The following is a 20682-nucleotide window of genomic DNA, read 5'->3' as shown; positions in this document are numbered from 1 at the left end:
TGCCATTGACAGGATCTCATTTTTTTATGGTCAAATTTTACTTCATTTTGTATACACACCATATTATTTTTAATCTGTTCATCTGTAGATGGACACTAACGTTGCTTTCAGATTCTGACTATTTTCAATAGAGCTGCAATAAACATGGGAGTGCAGATATCTCTTTGATGTACTGATTTCCTTTCTTTTGGGTGTATACCTAAAAGTGGGATTGCTGGATCACATAGTAGCTATATTTTTAGAATTTGAGGAACCTCCAGACTGGTCTTCATGGTGGTGTGCTAACTTACATTCCCACCAACAGTATATGAGGGTTCCCTATTCTCCACATCCTTGCCAGCATTTATTATTGCCTGTGTTTTGGATAAAAGCTATTTTAACTGGGGTGAGATAATATTTATCATAGTTTTAATGTGCATTTCCCTGATAATCAATTATGTTGAACACTTTCTTATATAATTGTTTTTCCTTTGTATGTCTTCTTTTGAGAAATACTTATTCAGATATTTTGTCAATATTTAAATAAGATTATTGTATTTTTATATGTTTTATTAGAAAACAACTGTATATATTAAAAATTCTAGTTATTGATTTCTTGTCAGATGAGTAGTTTGCAAATATTTTCTTTTATTCTTTCAGTCATCCCTTTACTTGGTTGCTTCTTTTGCTGTTCAGAAGCTTTCTAACTTGACATGATCCCATTTGTCCATTTTGGGTTTGGTTGCATGTGCCTGTGAAGTATTCTTTGCTCAAGAATTCTTTGCCCAGTCCAATGATTTTAAAAATTTTCACAATTCTTTCTTTCACTCTTTCTTTCTTTCTTTCTTTTCTTTCTTTCTTTCTTTCTTTCTTTCTTTCTTTCTTTCTTTCTTCTTTCTTTCTCCTTTCTCTTTCTTTCTTTCTTCTTTCTTTCTTCTCTCTTTCTTTCTTTTTCTTTTTTTTTTTTTTAATGAGACAGGATCTCATTCTGTCACCCTGGTTGGAGTGCAGTGGCACAATCATGGCCCACTGCAGCCTCGACCTCCCAGGCTCAAGCTATTCTTCTGCCTTATCCTGAGGCATGTGACACCAGATGCAGCTAATTTATTACTATTATTATCACATTTTTGTAGAGATGAGATCTTACTACGTTACTCAGGCTGGTTGCAAACTCTTGGGCTTAAGCAGTCCTCCTGCCTCAGCCTCCCAAAGTGCTGGGATTACAGGCATGAGCCACCATGTTGGACCCCAATATTTTATTTTACCATTTTCATAATTTGAGGTCTTAGATTTAAGCATTTAACTCATTTTGGTTTGATTTTTTAATAAGATGAGAGATAGGTGTCAAGTTTCATTCCTCTGCATATGCATATTCAGATTTCTCAGCACCATTTATTGAAGAGACTGTCCTTTCTCCAATGCATATTCTTGTAAACTTTTTTGAAAATGAGTCCACTGTAGATCTATACGTTTATTTCTGGGTTCTTTATTTTGTTCTACATTTCTATTTCTCAGTTTTTATGCCAGCACCACATCAGTTTGGTTAACTTAGCTCTGTATTATAATTTATGAGCCAGGTAATGTGATTCCTCCAGTTTTGTTCTTTTTGCTTTACATAGCTTTGGCTCTTCTGGGTCTTTGGTGGTTCCATATAAATTTTAGGATTTTTTTTTATTTCTTTGAATAATGTCATTGGTATATTGATAAGGATTGTATTAAATATATAGATTGCTCTGTGAACTATGGACATATTAACAATATTGATTGTTTCAATCCATGAACATGAGACATCTTTCCATTGTTTTGTGTCCTCTTTGGTTTTATGAATCAAAGCTTTATAGTTCTAATTGAAAAGACCTTTCACTTTTTTGGTTAATTTCTAAATATTACATTTTATTTGTATCTATTTTAAATGGGATTACTTTCTTGATTTTTTTTTCAAATTGTTCAGTGTGGGCATATAGAAATGATACATTTTTGTATATTGCTGAATTTGTTTATAAGTTCTTATTGTTTCTTTGCTGAATCTTTAGTTTTTTTTTCAAATACAAGATTACAAAAACAGCAAACAAGAATAATTTGACCTCTTCTTTTCATTTTGGATACTCTTATTTTTTTTATCTTGCTTGATTGCTGTCACTAGGACTTCCAATATTCTGTCAAATAAGAGTGGTGGAAGTCTGCATCTTTGTGCTCCAGATCTTAGAATAAAGAATCAGTTTTATTCTCATCCATTATGAAGCTTGCTGTGGGTCTGTCCTATATAACTTACATTATGAAGAGTTATGTTTTTTGCTATACCCAGTTTATGGAGGGAATTTATCATGAAGGGATGTTAAATTTTATGAAATGCCTTTTCAACATCAATTGAAATGATCATATAGATTTTGCTCTTTATTCTGTTTCTATGATGTATCATATTGATTGATTTGTATATGTTGAACCATCCTTGAATCCCTGGAATAAATTTCACTTGGTATGATAAATGATGTTTTAAAATTTTTTTATATTTAATTTTTGTGAGTATATAACAGGTATATATTTTGGGGTATATAACATGTTTTGATATAGGAATACAGTGAAAAACAATAACATCATAAATAATAGGGTATTTATCCCCTCAAGTATTTATCTGTTTTGTTACAAATAATCTAATTACACTCTTTTAGTTATTTTGAAATTTACAATTAGGTTATTTTTTACTATAAGCATCCTGTTGTGCTATGAAATACTAGGTACTCTTCATTCTTTCTATTTCTTTATACCCATTAACCATCTGTACCTTACTCCAGGCCCCTACTACCCTTCCCAGCCCCTAGTAATCATCCTTATATTCTCTATGCCTATGAGTCAAATTGCTTTGATTTTTTGGTCCCACAAATAAATGAGAACATACAATGTTTGTCCTTCTGTGTCTGGATTATCTCACTTAAAATAATAATCCCCAGTTCCATCCATGTTGTTGCAAATGACAGGATATATGAACCATATTTTTGTAATCTATTTTTCTGTTGATTGACTCAAAGATCTTTTTAATGTGTTGTCAAATTTGGTTGCTAGTATTTTGTTGATGTTTCTTTTGCATCAATATTTAACAAAAATATTAGACTGTAGTTTTTTTAAATATGTGTTTGTCTAGTATTGGTCTCAGGATAATACTGGCTTCATAAAATGAGTTTTGAAGTATTCTTCCCTTCTCTATATTTGGAAGAATTTGAGTACAATTTGTATTAGTTCTTTAAATGTTTGGTAGAATTCAGCACAGAAGCCATCGGGTTCTGGGCATTTCTTTGCTCCAAGCCTTTTTATTCCTGCTTTGGTCTTATTACTTGTTATTGGTCTGTTCAGGTTTTTTATTTCTTCATTGTTCAGTCTCCGTAGATTATATGTGTCTAGAAATTTGTTTATTACTTCTAGAATTTTCAATTTATTGGCATACATTTGCTTGTGGAAACCACTAGTGATCTTTTGAATTTCTGAGGTATCAGTTGGAATGTGTATTAGTGAGGGTTCTTCAGAAGGACAGAATTAATAGGATATACGTACATATAGAAGGGAATTTATTAGGTAAAATTAGTTCACATGATTACAAGGGAAAATTTTACAATAGGTCGTCTGCAAGCTGGGAAAGAGAGAAACTGGTAGTGGCTCAATATGAGTCCGAAAGCCTCAAAACCAGGGAAGCTGACAGTTTAGCCTTCAGTCTGTGGCCGAATGCCCAACAGCCTCCAGCAAGCCACTGGTACAAGTCCAAGAGTCCGAAGGCCGAAGAACCTGGAGACTGATGTCCAAGGGCAGGAGTAACACAAGAAAACATACAGAATCGAGAAAAAAATAAATAAATAAAAAAAGAAGCCAGAAGATTTAGGAAGCAAAGTCACCCCACCTTTTGTCACCTGCTTTGTTCTAGCTACATTGGCAGCTGATTAGATGGTGCTCACCCACATTGAGGGTGGGTCTTCCTCTTCCAGTCCACCGACTCAAATGTCTATCTCCTCTGGCTACACCTTCAAAAACACACCCAAAAACAATACTTTACCAACCATCTAGGCATCCTTCAATTCAATCAAGTTGACACCTAATATTAACCATCACAAATCCACTTGGCATCTATATGCATCTCCTGAAATTATACTTAATCTCCAAATATAGGTAATAATAAAGTCATAATTACACCTAACATAATACAACTATCCTTTATACAAATAAAAGTGCACTAATCCTTAACCTAAATGCTATTGAAGTTAAAAATAATTAAATGCTGCTATGAAGTGATAAATCTAATGTTACATAAGGATAAAAAAGAAAATAATATAAAGATATTTTATTTGTCTTGTTTTTCTTTATTTCTTCTTTTAAAAAATGGGATACATGTGCAGAATGTGCAGCTTTGTTACATAGGTATACATGTGCCATGGTGGTTTGCTGCACCTGTTGTCCCATCCTCTAAGTTCCCTCCCCTTGACTCACACCCTCCAGCAGGCCCTGGTATATGTTGTCCCATTCCCTGTGTCCATGTGTTCTCATTGTTCAGCTCCTACTTATGAGTGAGAACATGTGGTATTTGGTTTTCTGTTCCTGTGCTAGTTTGCTGAGGATGATGGCTTCCAGCTTCATCCATGTCCCTGCAAAGGAGAATGATCTCATTCTTTTTTATGGCTGCATAGTATTCCACAGTGTATATGTACCACATTTTCTTTATATCCAGTCTATCATTGATGGTCATTTGGGTTGGTTCCATGTCTTTGCTATTGTAAATAGTGCTGCAATAAACATATCTGTACATTTGTCTTTATAGTATAAGGATTTATATTCCTTTGGGTATATATGCAGTAATGGAAGTGTTGGCTCAAATGGTATTTCTGGTTCTAGATCTTTGAGGAATCTCCATACTGTCTTCCACAATGGTTGAACTAATTTACATTCCTACCAACAGTGTAAAAGCTTTCCTATTTCTCCACAGCCTCGTCAGCAAAAGATATTTTCTTAATACAGTTGAACACATGCACAAACATAGTCTTAACAAAAAAAGTTGTAAATACTCATGACTATTACAGTCCTCATTTCTGCAACTGGTCACATGGTTGTAGCTGATATTGGTAACTACCTTCTTCTGCTACCCATTCTGTATTTCCTTTGCCTTCAGAAATCACCTCAGCTAATCTTTGTTTTTCACCTGATAGAGTGACCCAAACCTTCATCCCTAAAGGCTCTGGGCTATTTGCAGTCATGATTGCATTGAGTTGTTGTAGTATCTCATTGACTTTAATCACAGGGCATAGTGATACCAAACGGATGCCCTAAGGGATCTCCTGTGTTACAGACATACTCTTCCTTACTTTAATTGTGTTGTGGCATCGGATTTTATCTTGATAGTCTGGGTCAATCATCCTAGAAAACACTGTACCTTCCTTCTTAGCCTGTTGACTTGGAGCCAGAAGAAGCCCAAAGTGGCTAGGTGGCAGTCTTACTTCCAGTTTAATGGAATCATTGTTGTGTCTCCTCGTGGCAGCATTTCTCTCTCTAGAAATAACACTTCTAGGCCAGCAGAACATAATGTCATGGAAACAGGCAGCAAAAATTTTTCTAGTGGGTTACTAGGGGTGACAGTGAGTGGTACCACCTCCAGTTTTACTCCTTGATTTCTGGAACCACACATCCTTGCTATGGAAGGAACAGTGCCATATATTGAATGCTAATCAAGGATATACACAACCTTCTGGAGAACTTTCTCCCAGCCCTGAAAAGTATTTTCACCTGATTGGCATTGAAATAGTTACTTCAAAAGTCCACTTTACCATTCTATCAAGCCAGCTTCTTTAGAATAATGGGAAACATATTAAGACTACTGAATGCCATGAGCACAAGCCCACAACTGTCACACCTCTTTAGCTGTGAAGTGAGTTTCTTGATCAGAGACAATGCTGTGTGGAATGCCTTGACAGCAGATAAGGCAACCTACGAGTTATGGATGGTGGTCTTGGCAGAAGCATTGCATGCAGGATAGGCAAACCCATATCCAGAGTAAGTGTGTATTCCAGTAAAAACAAACTGCTGCACTTTCCACAACGGAAGACATCCAATGTAATCAATGTAATCAACCTGCCACCAGGTAGCTGGCTAATCACCCCAAGGAATAGTGCAATATCGAGGGCTCAGTGTTGGCCTCTGCTGCTGTCAGATGGGGCACTCTGCAGTGGCCATAGCTAGGTCAGCCTTGGAAAATGAAAGACCATATTGCTAAGCCCATGTGTAAACTTCATTTGTGCCACCATGGTCACTTTGTTTATGAGCCCATTGGACAATGACAGGTTTGGCTGAGGAAAGAGGCAGAGTGGTGTCTGCAAAATGGATCATCCTATCTACTTGATTATTAAAATTCTCCTCTGCTGAGGTCACACTTTGGTAAGCATTCACATGGGACACAAATATATTCACAGTTTTTGACCACTCAAGGAGGTCTATCCACGTACCTCTTCCTCAAATCTCCTTTTTAACCAGTTTTCCAATTATGGTCTTTCAAAGTCCCTGACCAACCAGCCAAACCATTGGCTACAGCCCATGAATGAGTATATAATTGCATGTCTGGCAATTTCTCCTTCTAAGAAAAGTGCAAAAAAAAGGTTGACTTCTTGAAGTTCTGCCCACTGGGAAGATTTTTCTTCACCGCTGTCTTTCAGGGATGCCCTAGAAAGGGACTGTAGTGCTGCAGCTGTCCAGTTTCAGGTGGTGCTGGCATATCATGCAGAACAATCTATAAACCAGGACCTAGTCTTCCTTTCTCTGTCAACTTTTCATGGTGAACTATATGAGGTCATTAGTGCAGGACTGGAGAGAGAAGGCAGGGTGGCAGGAGTAGGGACCATGGGCATTTGGGCCACTGTCTCATTAACTTACTTGTGCCTTCAGGACCTGCCCAAGCCTGATTGTGTATATGCCATGTCCATTCGATGATTAAATGCTGCTGTGCACATCCAACTTTATGGCTAGATGGGTCAGAAAGCACCCAGTTTATGATAGGCAGTTCAGGTTACATAATAAATTGGTGACCCATAGTCAAACATTCTGTTTCTACCAAGGCCTAGTAACAGGTCAAGAGATGTCTCTCCAAAGGAGAGTAGTTATCTGCAAAAGATGACAGGGCCTTGCTCCAAAATCCTAGAGGCTTCCACTGGGATTCACCTATGGGGGCCTGACAAAGGCTCCAGACAGCATCTCTATAAGCAACTGACACCTCAGGCACCATTGGATCTGCTGAGCCATATGGTGCAAGTGGCAGAGCAGCTTGCACAGCAGCCTGGACCTGTTGCAGAGCCTTCCCCTCTTCCGGGCCTCACTCAAATTTAGCAGCCTTTTGGTTCACTCAATAAATGAGTTGAAGTAACACACCCAAATGAAGAATGTGTTGCCTCCAAAATCCAAACAGGCCCACTAGGCATTGTGCCTTTCTTGGTTGTAGAATAAGCCAAATGGAACAACTTATTCTTCACCTTAGAGGAATATCTCGACAGGCCCCCTCTCCATTGTACCCATAGCAATTTCAGTGTCGTAGAATGTCCCTGAATTTTTATCAGATTCATTTTCCATCTTCTGGCATGCAAATATCTCAATGGTAAGTCCAAAGTAGTTGCTACTTCTCGCTCCCTGGTTTCAATCAGCATAATTTCAACAATGTAATAAACCAGTGTGATATCTTGTGGAAGAGACAAGTGAGCAGGATTTCAGTAAACAACTGTATGACACAGAGCCAGAAAGTTGACATAGCCCTGAGGTAGGACAGTGAAGTATATTGCTGGTCTTGCCAGTTAAAGGCAAGTTGCTTCTTGTGGGCCTTATCGACAGTGGTGAAGAAAAAGGCATTTGCTAAATTAGTAGTTGCATACCAGGAACCAGGAGATGTGTTAATTTGCTCGAACAATAAAACCACATCTGGTACAGCAGCTGCAATTGAAGTCACCACTTGGTTAAGCTTATAATAATCCACTGTCTTTCTTTAAGGTCCATTATTCTTCTGCACAGGCCATATATGAGAGTTACACAGGAATGTGGTGGGAATCACCACCCCTGCATCTTTCAGGTCCTTGATGGTGCAAGAATCCCTGCAATCTCTCCAGGGATGTAATATTGTTTTTGATTTACTATTTTTCTACATAGTGATAGCTCTAATAGCTCACATTTGCCCTTTTTCACCATAATAGCCCTCAACCCCCAGGTCAGGGAACAAATGTGGAGATTCTGTCAACTGCTAAGTATGTCTATTTCAATTATGCATTCTGGCACTGAGGAAATGAACACAGGATAAGTTTGGGGACCCACTGGACCCACTGTAAGTTGGGCCTGAGCTACAACTTCATTAATTACTTGACCTCCACAAGCTTCTACTCTAACTGGAGGGCCACAATGACATTTTGGATCCTCTGAATCAATGTCAGCTCAGAGCCAGTGTCCAGTAATCCCCAAAAGGTCTGATCATTTTTCTTTTCCCATTGAACAGTTACTCTGATGAAAGCCCAGGGGTCTCCCTGGGTAAAGATAAGAGAAAAATTAACAGTATAAATTTTCAGTAGTGTAGTGGGGTCCTTTCTCAAGGTGACTCAGCCTTCCTTTTTTTCAAGGGGTTCTGGATCTGTAAATTTATTCAAGTCTGAAAATTGATTGAGGGGCTGTGATTCTTTGTTTTTTATCATTCAAATCAATCTTTTGTTCACTTGGCCTGGAAGTTTTCTGCTCATACCAATCAAGTAAGAATATAGTAGGCTTCCTATCAATTTCACTTCCAGGAACACCATGATTAATTAGCCAATGCTAGAGCTCTACAAGAGTAAGAGTATTCTGATTGCTGCTTTGTCTCTGTTGTCTATTACTGCAACTATGCCTACCTTGCCTTTGACGGTTGAGTGCTGCCACTTGGCCCCTGCCACCTCAGGGTCCAATTATTCCCATCGCATTTAAGTTTTCCAATTGAGTGACTGTGGTTCTCACCATAAGATCTGGCATAAAGAGAAGAGAGATCACACAGCTCTTCAAGGATGCCATTGCTCTTCTGACAAATCTATTTCACAAGGTATTGATGAAGAAAATGTCTTCTGTGTTCTCTCAGTTGGAATTAGTAGGGCTAAATTTACAAATCCACTCTAACATTCCAATCTCCCTAAGCTTTTGGATTCCTTTTTCTACATTAAACCAAGGGAGATCAGGCATTTCCAGCTTACTCGCAGTGGGCCATATTTTGACCCATGTTTCAGCTATCCAAGCGAATAAACTATAAGAACATTTTTTAAAATTCCCGTAGCTGCAACATCAAATGCAGAATCTCTGCTTGATGAACCCGTATCAATAAATTCAGCCTGATCCAACTTTATGTTCCTTCCACAATTATCCCACTCTTAATATTCATTCTCATACCTGTTCTCCAGATTTCTGCTTATATAAATCAGAAAACTCGAGTAGTTCTTTTGTAGTATAGTGAACATCCTAATGGGTCAAACTCTGAACATCACCTCTATGGGCCTGCCAGGACTTCAGTCTAGTTACAGGTGTAGAAGTAAAGAGAGGTGTTGAGGTGGGTCCTGAAGAGAATTTGCATTGTCTTGCCTGGCAACCGCCTCAGAGGAGGCCATTGCTATTTCCTCAGGCAATGCATAGTTAATCTCTTCAGGCAAATGTGGAAAGGCTCATAGCAGCCTGTGTGGAAGAGGGAATGAACACACCACTGGGTGTGAATAGCCCATTTCCTCTGGCAAAAAAGGTTCATGAGAATTGAGGAAGTCCGTGTCCCCAGCTTCATTGGGGTGCTTCCACATGTCCCCATCCCAAGTTACAGGGCCTCATTCTTTCCCAGTTTAGGCCCTCAGTTTAACTGTAGACACCTGACAAGGCTAAGCCTGCACGTTTCCTTGTAGATTAGCCACTGGCATGATAAAAGATTCTGTCTGATTTTCAAAAATTTTAGCCCTGTGTCTAAGGAAGATTCAACTCTCACTGTGGGCAATCTTAGAAGCGTTGAGGCTAAGTATGTGATGCTGGAGCCTGAAGATAGAATTCCTGAACTTATCCTTTTCGTTCAACACTTTGTCCAATGAACTTAGAGACAACTAAGCAACTTTACTGTATTGTTGGTTCTCTACAAATGTTGAAAGGTATCATGTATAGATTAGCTAACCTCCTTGCCTCTAAGGAGCAGTGAAATCAGGAGTATCAAATACATTTATTTTGCACAACTGTAAACAACTCACACCAAGGACTATCAATATTCTCTATACTATTAGAAGTAGAGTCCTTAGCACTTTTAGGTCTAATCAGATTTTAAAGAGCCAAATCCAGAAACCCCAGAACCAACCAAAGAAATCCATCATTAAAATTCTTTTTGTCCAGAACTACCCCGGAAGTAAAATCTGTATTAGTCAGCGTTCTCCAAAGGAAAAGAAGTAACAGGATGTATGCATATATGAAAGGAAGTTTATTATATAAAATTGGCTCACATAATTACAAGACAAAGTCTCACTATAGGCCCTCTGTTAGCTGGGGAAAAGGAAAGCTGGTAGTGGCTCAGTACAAGTCTGAAAGCCTCAAAACCAGGGAAGCTGACAGTGCAGCCCTCATTCTGTGGCTAAAGGCCCAAGAGTCCCCAGCAGGCCACTGGTAAAAGTTCAAGTGTCCAAAGGCCAAAGAACCTGAAGTCCTATGTCCAAAGGCAGGAGGAATAGGAGGAGGCATGCAGCACTGAGAAAAGAAGGAAGCCAGAAGATTTGGCAAGCAAGGTTATCTCACATTTTTCCACCTGCTTTGTTGTAGCTGCAATGGCAGCCAACTGGATGGTGCTCACCCACATTGAGTGTAGATCTTCCTCTCTCAGTCCACTGACCAAATATCTGCCTCCTCTGGCAACGCCTTCACAGACACAGACAGAAATAATACTTTATCAGTCATCTAGGCATTCTTCAATCTAATCAAGTGGGCACCTAATATAAACGATCACAGAATGTCTCCTTTGTTATTTTTGGTTTAATTTATTCAGTTATGCTCTGTTTTTTTCTTAGTCTGGCTAAACGTTTGTGAATTTTGTTTAACTTAAAAAATAAAAATAAAAAAACCAAACTTCTTATTTTATTAATCTCTTGTGTTTTTTTCTCCATTTCAATCTTTACTTCTGCTCTGATCTCTATTATTACTTTTCCTATACTAATTTTTAGTTTGGTTTGGCTTACCTTTGCTTTTCAAGTTATTTCAGATGCATTGTCAGGTTGTTAATTTGAACTTTATCTTCTTTTTTAATGTGGGGATTTATAGCTATAAACCTCCCTCTTATTACTGCTTTTGCTGTATTCCTCAGGTTTTGGTATGTCACATTTCCATTATCATTTGTTTCAAATTTTTTTTTAATTTTTTAAAATTTTTCATAGACTCACTGATCAGGAGCATATTGTTTAATTTTCACGTGTTTGGGTGGTTTTCAAAATTTCTTTTGTTTTTAATTTCTAGTTTTGCTTCATCGTTCTTCATATAAAATGCCTAATATTATTTTAATTTTTTGGATTTTTTAAGACTTGTTTTATAACATAATATGGTTTATCCTAGGGATTAATCCATGTGCTGAGAAAAAGAATGTGCGTTCTGCAGCTGTTGGATGAAATGTTATGTAAATAGCTATGATGTTCATTTGGTCTATAATGAAGCTTAAGTGTAAAGGTTTTTTTTTAATTATTAATTTTGTGTTTGGAATATCTCTCTAAGCTAAAAGTGGGGTGTTGAACTTACCATCTATTATTCTATTGGGGTCTTTCTCTCTCTTTAGCTCTAAACATATTTGCTTCATATGTCTTTATGCTCCAGTGTTTGACTCTGGTATATTTATAATTCTTATATCCCCTTGCTGAATTGACCTTTTTTATTATGGTATAATGACCTATTTTTTCTCACAACTCTGACCAGTATCCTAACCTGTTGTGGCTAAGCTGGTATCCAAGATACAACACAAATTACTCCTGACTGTTTCCTCTCATCTCCTTAAGCAAAAGAAAGGACTGTCTTTTGATGCAGTGAGCTGTGCAGTCTGGAGTTAGAGAAGGAGTAGTGCCAGCACTCCCCTAACCACTCCAGCCAGTGTCTCAGTAGGTCACGTGCCCTTACAGTCCACTGGCTCTAAGCCCAGTTCAGCCCTAGAATTCACCTAGGACTTGCAGTCTTTGTGGCACAGACTGCTTTTTAAGTGTATTTAGAGCCCCACAGCACTTTAGCATTAGGTGGCAAGGCTTCCTGGAGCTCAAGTTCTGACAACTGGGATCAGCAATTCTCTGGCTAGGGCTGGTTTTACTACTCCCTCTGTGGGTTGGCATCAGCTGAGTTTGGTCTGATTTTGCTTTCTGCTATAACAGGTCATCACTGAGATTTATACAATAAAACCAGGTACTGTAATTACTCACTTGATTGTTTGTTCTAATTAAGGCATTTTGCTTGTTTGTTTGTTTTTTCTGTGTAGATAGTTGTTAAATAGGGTCTTTGCAGGGAGGGTCATTGGTGGGTCTTCTATTCTGCCATCTTTCCCCACCCTTCAGATTTTCTTTTTCTTTTTTTTTTTTAACTTCAACTATTTCTACTTATTACTTTAGTTAATCTATTTCATCTGTTCACCTTGGGCTTGAAGCACAGGCTACTGCTTTTGCCTAATATTTTATTTCCTATTGCTGGGTTTTTGTCTGACCTGATTTATTTATCTGACATTTGTGTATAATGAAACTGCACTTATTAATTTTATTTTCCATAAGACTTCTCTCTACTAACTTATGGTCCCAGAACATTTGTTCTAAACAAACTTGAAATAAGAAATTCATCATTGAATTTCTGTCTTAGTCATTTACCTAGTAAGGCAAGGCCTAGAAATCAAGAACAAAATGTTAATGTGTGTGTACATGCACATGTGCTTATAAATAGATATGTAGGTAGTTGGGTAAATAATGCATTAATATACTATTTTGGATATTAATTGAATTATAATTTTATCTCATGTTACTCCAGATAGATCAGGTAATGCTACAATAACAAGCAAATAACAAAACTTTTCTAACTTAACAACACAAATATTTATGCTTCATTTATGCAAAGTTCAATGAGTCTTCAGAGCAGTCGCCCTTCATATATGACTTAGTTACTCCTGTGGTTTCATTGTCTTTCTCCAATATTCATGTTTAAACGCAGATCTTAATGCAATAGATTTAAGAGGTGAGGTCCTTAGAATGTAATTAGGAAATGAGAGATCTAGTCTCATGAATTGAATCGGTGCCCATACAGAAGGGTTTTAGGAATCCTGATTGGCTATTTTTCCCCTTCTTCCATGTGAAGGAACCACGTTTGTCCCTTTCGCCAAGGCACCACCTTGGAAGCAGAGAGCAAGCCCTTACCAGACACTGAGTTTGCTGGCACTTTGATCTCAGACTATTATACGTACATAGACTTTTTGATTTAAGAGAAATTGTATGGGTAAATTAAATAGGAAGCATTGAGGGAAAGTAAATCTCAGAGGTGTGCCATGGACTCTGTTTAGTACATAGAGTTTCAGAACGGTAATAAGACCTCAGATAGTTTTGTGGAGACACAGGAAAAGTTAGTCCTTGCCTATCAGAGATTTCTATGCTTCATTGTGGTAATGAAAAGCATAATTATTAAGCTCCTATGATTACATTAGAGAAAGAAGTCTCTGGATCTAAGAAAATCTAGCAGAAATGAAAGAATAACATCAATGTAATGATCTATGTAGATTAAAACAAAAGATTACCTGAAATAATAAACACACTGATGAACAAAAGATATAAAAATATTATTCAAGAAACATATAATCCCATTATAATGACTTGAAATTACATGTACCCCTGGAATTTAGCCTGATTGTGGTGAAGTGGGAAAACTCCAAACTGTCCTCAACATAATAAGGACTTTAAATTAAAAGAAAAATAATTAAAGTTGTATTTATAGCTTGGCTAACTTGTTGATTGAGGTTAAAAATAGCTATATTAGCATACATACAGACAAATAACCATGTACACACACATATCAGAAAAGAAGGACATTTCTGACTTTCATGGTTTCATAGGCATTATTGTTTCTAAACAATTTCAACCATTTTCTATAAAATATTAATATAATGGCTACTACTCCCTCTTTTATGATTCTGATTTACCACCTCCAGAGAAGAAGTACATTGTTAAGAGTCACCAACTTGAATTGTATAAAAAGGTAGAATATCTGTTGACAGATGCTAAAATTATAGTTAAATTTAAAATATACAGTGAGTTTGGTTAAAATCCCCTCTAATGATCAGTGTTAGATAAGAATAAGATTATCTCTTCCCACTAATAGCAAGACAGGATGGATATAAACATAGGTAAATGACTTGCTACATTCTCCAAACTTCTATATTACTATTTGTATTTATACACTAGTCTAGTTTATCCACATCTTGCTTTGAAGCCTTTAGTGGGTTGAATGGACAAAAACATATGTCTACATATAAACTGCCTATACTAGTCAGAGTTATTCAGAGAAACAGAATCAAAAGTCCAATAGACTACAAATATATAAATAATTGATACATTTATGAATATCTGACATATATAGAAATGCATTATAAGATATATATTTATATGTATATGTGTATACTACCCAATATACTAGGTTTGCAATGTTTTTGAGTTCTTCATTATTTACTCATTCACGTCTATACCACTCAGTCACCCCTTACCTAACAAAATCATTCCTTTATTTAATGACAGGATATCTATAAATCCTAACTTATGAATACAAGGATGGTTCTGTTTGTTAACAGTAAAATTAAACTGCATTAATAATTCAAAGAAAGAAACCAATATAAGCATTTTCTTAAATGATAAAAAAAAATAGCATTTGGTGAATAGTACCATACATTTCTCCAAAACATTGAGTAATCAAAGAAAAGAAAGGCACTTAAAATATGTACTCTAGAAACAGACTGATCTTCTTTCTTGAATTTTGGCTCTATTGCTTAAAGTTATGCAGCAATGAGCATACTAAGAAACATCTCTTGCCTCAATTTATTCTAGAGTAAAATGAGGAAAAAGATAATTATATCATATGGTACTATAAAATAATTCATACAATAAAATAATTCTTGTAAAAATGTTTAGAACTATAGAACTGTAGAACTATAAACTAATAGTCAAAATATATTCTTAGTGAAAACACAGTGACAGAAAAATTTTTATTAAAATCAGAAACAGTAGAAATTGCCCCTATCAACCATATTATTAAATACATTTCTGGAAATTTTAGTCAATGTTTTGAGACAGAAAACTGAAACTAATAGTATAACAAAGAATTAAAATGTGATTCATATATATTAAATAGTATATATCACTTTGCTTAGGATTGCTTGAATATTCAGGCTATTTTTGGTTCCATATGAATATTAAAACATTTACTTCTAATTCTATGAAGAATGTTATTGGTAGTTTGATAGTAATAGCATTAAATCTGTAAATTGCTTTGGGCAGTATGGCAATTTGAATGATATTAATTCTTCCTATCCATGAGCAAGGAATGATTTTCCATTTGTTTGTGTCATTTCTGATTTTTTTAAGCAGTGAATTGTAATTCTCATTGTAGAGATTTTTTACCTCCCTGGTTGGCTGCATTCCTAGGCATTTTATTTTTTGTGGCGATTTTGAATGAAATTGTGTTCCTGATTTGGCTCTCAGCTTAGACGTTGTTGGTGTATAGAAATTCTATAGATTTTTGTACATTGATTTTGTATTTTGAAACTTTGTGTAGTTGTTCATTAGATCAAGGAGTTATGGCAGAACCTATGGGATTTTCTAGATTCAGTATTATATTATCTGCGAACAAGGATAGTTTGGCTTCCACTCTTTATTTTATTTCTTCCTCTTCCCCAATTGCTCTGCCCAGGATTTCCGATACTATGTTAAACAGGAATGATGAGAAAAAGCATCTTTGTCTTGTGCTGATTTTCAAGGGATTCCGTCTTTTGTCCATTTAGTATCATGTTCGATGTGGGTTTTTCGTAGATGGCTCTTAATATTTTGAAGTATGTCCCATCAATATCTGGTTTATTGAGGATTTTCAAGATGAAGGATGATACATTTTATTGAAAGTCTTTTGTGGATTTATTGAGTTGATCAAGTGGGTTTTGTGTTTAGTTCTGTGATTGTGGTGAATCTTATTTATTGTTTTGCATATGTTGAACCAAGCTTGCATCTCAAGAATGAAGTCTACTTGATCATGGTGGATTAGCTTTTTGATAGGCTGCTGGATTTGGTTTGCTAATATTGTGTTAAAGATTTTCGCATCTACATTCATCAAATATATTAGCCTGACATTGTCCTTTTTTGTTGTGTCTTTGCCAGGTTTTAGTATTGGGATGATGTTGGCCTCATAGAATGAGTTGAAGAGGAGTCCCTCCTCCTCAATTTTTTTTTTTGAATCATTTCTGTAGAAATGGTACAAGCTCTTCTCTATACATCTGGTAGAATTCAGCTGTGAATCCTTCTGGTTCTGGCTTTTTCTGATTGGCAGGCTTCCTAGATTAACCTTGGGAGGTTGTATGTGTCTAGAAATTTATCCACATTTTCTAGATTTTCCAGTTTGTGTGCATAGAGGTGTTGATAGTGCTGGGCGCAGTGGCTCATGCCTGTAATCCAGGCATTTTGGGAGGCCAAGACAGGCAAATCACCTGAGGTGAGGAGGTCGAGACCAGCCTGGCCAACATGGTGAAACCCCATCTCTACAAAAATAAAAATTAGCTGAGTGTGGTGGTGGGTGCCTGTAATCCCAGCTACTCAGGAGGCTGAAGCAGGAGAATCGCTTGAACCTTGGAGACGGAGGTTGCAGTGAGCCGAAATTGTGCCACTGCACTCCAGCCTGGGTGACAGAGCAAGATTCCGTCTCAAATCACCTCAGGCAGGCGGAGGCCTGCCTCTCCCTCTGGGAGCTCCATTGCGAGGAAGTGCAGAGCTACTACCAGCCCAAGAGCTCTGGTGAGGGGTGGCTATAATCCCAGGATAGGGGACCCACCCAGGGAAAAGTGGGATTAGGGACCCACATAAGGAACAGTCTAACCACTTTTCCATGTATGGCTGCAGTGTGCTGGGGATTCATGCCACTCTGTAATCACCAGGTACTCTCCAGAGCTTGAAGGATATAATGGGGCAGGTTGTGAGACAACAAAATCCGCCAGCCTCCCCCGCTGGAAGCTCTGTCCCAGGGATGATCAGAGTTACTACTGTCTGGAGAGCCTAAATGGGGGGTTGCTGGAGTCTCAGGTCAGGGTGTCCTACCCAGTGAGGAAAAGCAGGATGAGAAACCTTCAAAAACTAAACAAAACAAAAAACAGTCTGGCCATTTTCTTGTGGGATGGCTGCACTGTGCTGGAGACCCACACCAATTCCTAACCACCACGTATAATCAAGACCCTGAAGGCTGTAGCAATGGAGGCAGCAAGACAGTAAAAATGGTGGTCAGCCCCTCCCTCTGGCAGCTCTGTCTCAGGGAAGATCAGAACTCATACCATTCTGAGAGCTCTGGCGAGGGTGGCTGGAGTCCCACGTTGAGGGGAGGATCCTGCCCTGTGAGAAGAAGCGGGATCCAGACTCACATAAAAAACAGTCTGGTCACTTTTCTGCGGGATGGCTGCACTGTGCTGGGAATTCGTGCCACTCTCTAGTCGCTGCATACTCTCCAGAGACTGAAGGCTGTAGCAGTGGGAGCTGAGAGATAGCAAAGTGGCGGTCAGCTTCTCCCTCTGGGAGCTGTCTCAGGGAGGTACAAAGTTGCTACTGGCATGAGGTGGCTGGATTCCCAGGTTGGGGGTTCTGCCCACTGAGAAAAAGCAGAATTGAGGACTTGTGGAAAAAAAAGAAAATAAAAAAAAATAGTCTTGCTGCTTTTCCATGGGATGGCTGTGCTGTGCTGGAGATTCGTGCTACTTCCTAATCTAGAGCTTGAAGGCTGTAACAGTGGGGGCTGTGACATGGCAAAAATGACGGCTAGTCTCTCCCATTAGGAGCACTATCCCAGGGGAGTGCAGATCTGCTACCAGCTGGTGAGTGCAGATGTGGGGTGGCGGGAGGTCCAGGCCAGTAGGCTTTATTCTGCGAGATGCAGTAGAGGCAAGGCCTGCTTTCTGTCACTGCTCAGTCAGCTGGATTCAGCCCGTCCCCTGGGGGCATGCAAGAGACCCTGGCCTCCCTCACTGCTGGCGCAGCAGCCACAAATGACCGGATGTCTGGGGGTTTAAGGCTCCCAGGACTCCCAGTGTGCATGAGTGGTGACTGCCTAGACTCCATATAGCTCTCCGTGTCAGTCTGGAAGTCCCAGTGGAAGGGGCACATGGGGAGATCACCTGAGCCCAGGGTTGCAAAGGTCCATGGCAGAAGTGTGGGTCCCCAGGAACTCTCACTCACTCACTTTTCCCCAGGGTGGAGAAGCCTCCCCTGGCACTGTGGTACCTCTGGGTGGGCAGTCATCCTGTCTTGCTCCTCTCTGTTCTCTCTGGGTCAAGTTGTTTTCTTGATAAATCCTGATGTGTTCACCTGGATGTTCCAGTTTAAGATCGAGGAATTACTCACCATTATTTTTTCTTTTCCTGACAGCAGCCTACAATAGCAGCTTCTAGTCAGCCATCTTGGCCTCTTCCACAGCTGTGACCAATACTTTTTTTTGTTTGTTGTTGTTTTCATTCTATTTTTAATACCAATAAAAAAATAGCTAGGAATAAGTATTACAAAAGATGTTCAGGGTCTATTTGAAGACAACTCAAAAACTTTACTGAAGGAAATATAATAAGACCAAAATATATAAAAGAATGCATTATTTTTTAGAATGAATAATTTAATATTTGCTAAACGTTAATTCTCTGTATATATTTCTTCATTAATTTAATGAAAATTAAAATAATCATTTTAACCTTTATCTGGGAGAATGATCAGGCCTAGACAAAATATTTTTGAAAAGGAAAATAAATTAAAACAATTCTATCATACCACGATATTCAAATGTGCTATAAAGTTAATAATTTAAGCAGTGAGTTGTGGTACAGAGTTAAGAACAATTTTTAAAATACAAAATAAACATCCCAGAAGTGAATTCCAAAACATATTTTATGGTGGACAGGGACAGTATTTATTTGTTTATTTGCCTGTGTGTTTTACTTCGTTTTTTATTTAATGCTTTTCTTAAATAATTAAAATATGCAAAGACTAAATAAAAAATTTTGTGGGGAAAGTACTTGCACCCACTATTCCAGAAGTGCACCACTATTGTCAAACACACTCTCAAACTCTATCAAAGTCAGTATATGGCCACACTTCCTTAATATTTTTCAATAATTTTATTACGTTTCTCTCTTCTCTGGATCTTTTACTCTTATAAATCATCTCTGTCTTCTATATTATTAACAATTTCTTCCCTACTATTTCTCATTCTATAAAGGGGTTCTTATGCAAAAATACCCCAAAACAATCAAATTACACATTATTTTTTTACCTAGTACTACCTCTACTGTACAACCTCGTTCTTTTCTTAGCTAAACTTCAAAGAATTGTAACAAACACATACTATCTCTATTCCTTGTTTATTTGCTTATAGATATTTATCAAGTGAAATTTTATGTCACATGCTGTTCCAGTTGCTTTGATGTAACAATAAACAAGTTCTCAACATCAAAATAAGCTATTATTAGATGAAATAGATGAAATTAAGTTTACATAGTACAATAGCAAATGTTTTCCACTTTATAAAATAATTATTTGTACATAAATATACTACAAGACTACAGTTAAAATGGAATATCCAGTGATGAATACATATTAAATGTAGTTAACTACTTAAGATGAATATAAAGTTTACGATATTATATGTGAATATAGACATAATTGGTGGTCTGCCTACAGTTAAGTGTTTTCTTGAAAATAATTTAAAAACTCAGGGCAACAAAGTAAAAAATAATTATATAGAAAATAATAAAATTATAGTTTATAGGAAAAGGAAAATTCAGGAACCTCAGTATTCAGTCCAGCATGTAAGGATATTGGAAGTGATCACTCCATCCTAACAACCGAAAAACTGAACAAACTAAAAAACTAACAAAACTCTTTTTAGATCCATCAGAGCATTGACATCACAGGGAAAATTTGTGTCACCAAAATTGAAGGGATAGACAGGTGTATACAGTAAGCCACAGCTTACTTGAGCAGAAACTGATGAGAAAAACTTCAACTGGAACAAGTACCAGGGGAGAAAACTTGAACTACAATTAACAAATTTCTGAAAGTTCAGTCTGAGAACTGAAGACTGCAGGAGGGCCTCTTCTTAGAGGTATACCAAAATTTTTATGACTTTCAACTCCAGACACTGTAGTAGTTCTTACAGTGAAGAGTGCAGAAAAATCTTCTCATGCTTCCTGAAGCAAGAGGATGAAAATAACCATTTGTAAATACGCCTTCCCATTCTGTTATTCTAAACAAGGCCTGTGTGCAAAAAAATTTTTTTTACCTGAGTCTAACTTAATGGGGGTTTTATGAGAATTGAACCAAGTTGGGTGAAGAGAAACACTCAGCTCAACCCCTCTCTACCCCATCTAGTCCCACATAAGTGGGAGTTGGGACTGTGAAACACTTCTAAGGTTCGTGGCTCAGTGAATAGGCTCACTAGAAGACTGAG

At 37.5% G+C, this 20682-nt stretch overlaps 1 long non-coding RNA gene across 1 annotated transcript in view, besides 2 other annotated features; it reads right to left on the bottom strand.

Moving 5' to 3' along the window:
* Nucleotides 1–3522: 3522 nt before the first annotated feature.
* Nucleotides 3523–20682, bottom strand: part of LOC107985710 (uncharacterized) — a 71824-nt gene continuing 54664 nt past the window's right edge. Inside the window, exons 2-3 of the long non-coding RNA XR_001755916.2 lie at nucleotides 10750–10869; nucleotides 3523–8969 (exon numbers count right to left, since the gene is read on the bottom strand). This is a non-coding gene — a long non-coding RNA (uncharacterized LOC107985710). The remainder of the gene's footprint in view (nucleotides 8970–10749; nucleotides 10870–20682) is intronic.
* Nucleotides 17711–18246: an enhancer, noted in NCBI's record as "H3K27ac-H3K4me1 hESC enhancer chrX:94163281-94163816 (GRCh37/hg19 assembly coordinates)". NCBI's record gives its function as "activates a minimal SCP1, AML or CMV promoter by ChIP-STARR-seq in primed H9 embryonic stem cells {active_cell/tissue: H9 hESC(primed)}" and the evidence as "EXISTENCE:reporter gene assay evidence [ECO:0000049][PMID:30033119]".
* Nucleotides 18247–18784: an enhancer, noted in NCBI's record as "H3K27ac-H3K4me1 hESC enhancer chrX:94162743-94163280 (GRCh37/hg19 assembly coordinates)". NCBI's record gives its function as "activates a minimal SCP1, AML or CMV promoter by ChIP-STARR-seq in primed H9 embryonic stem cells {active_cell/tissue: H9 hESC(primed)}" and the evidence as "EXISTENCE:reporter gene assay evidence [ECO:0000049][PMID:30033119]".

Source organism: Homo sapiens, chromosome X (assembly GCF_000001405.40).
Source record: "Homo sapiens chromosome X, GRCh38.p14 Primary Assembly".
Lineage (NCBI taxonomy): Eukaryota > Metazoa > Chordata > Mammalia > Primates > Hominidae > Homo > Homo sapiens.
Note: the sequence above shows the minus strand (reverse complement) of the source record. Positions and strands in the feature narration are given on the sequence as shown.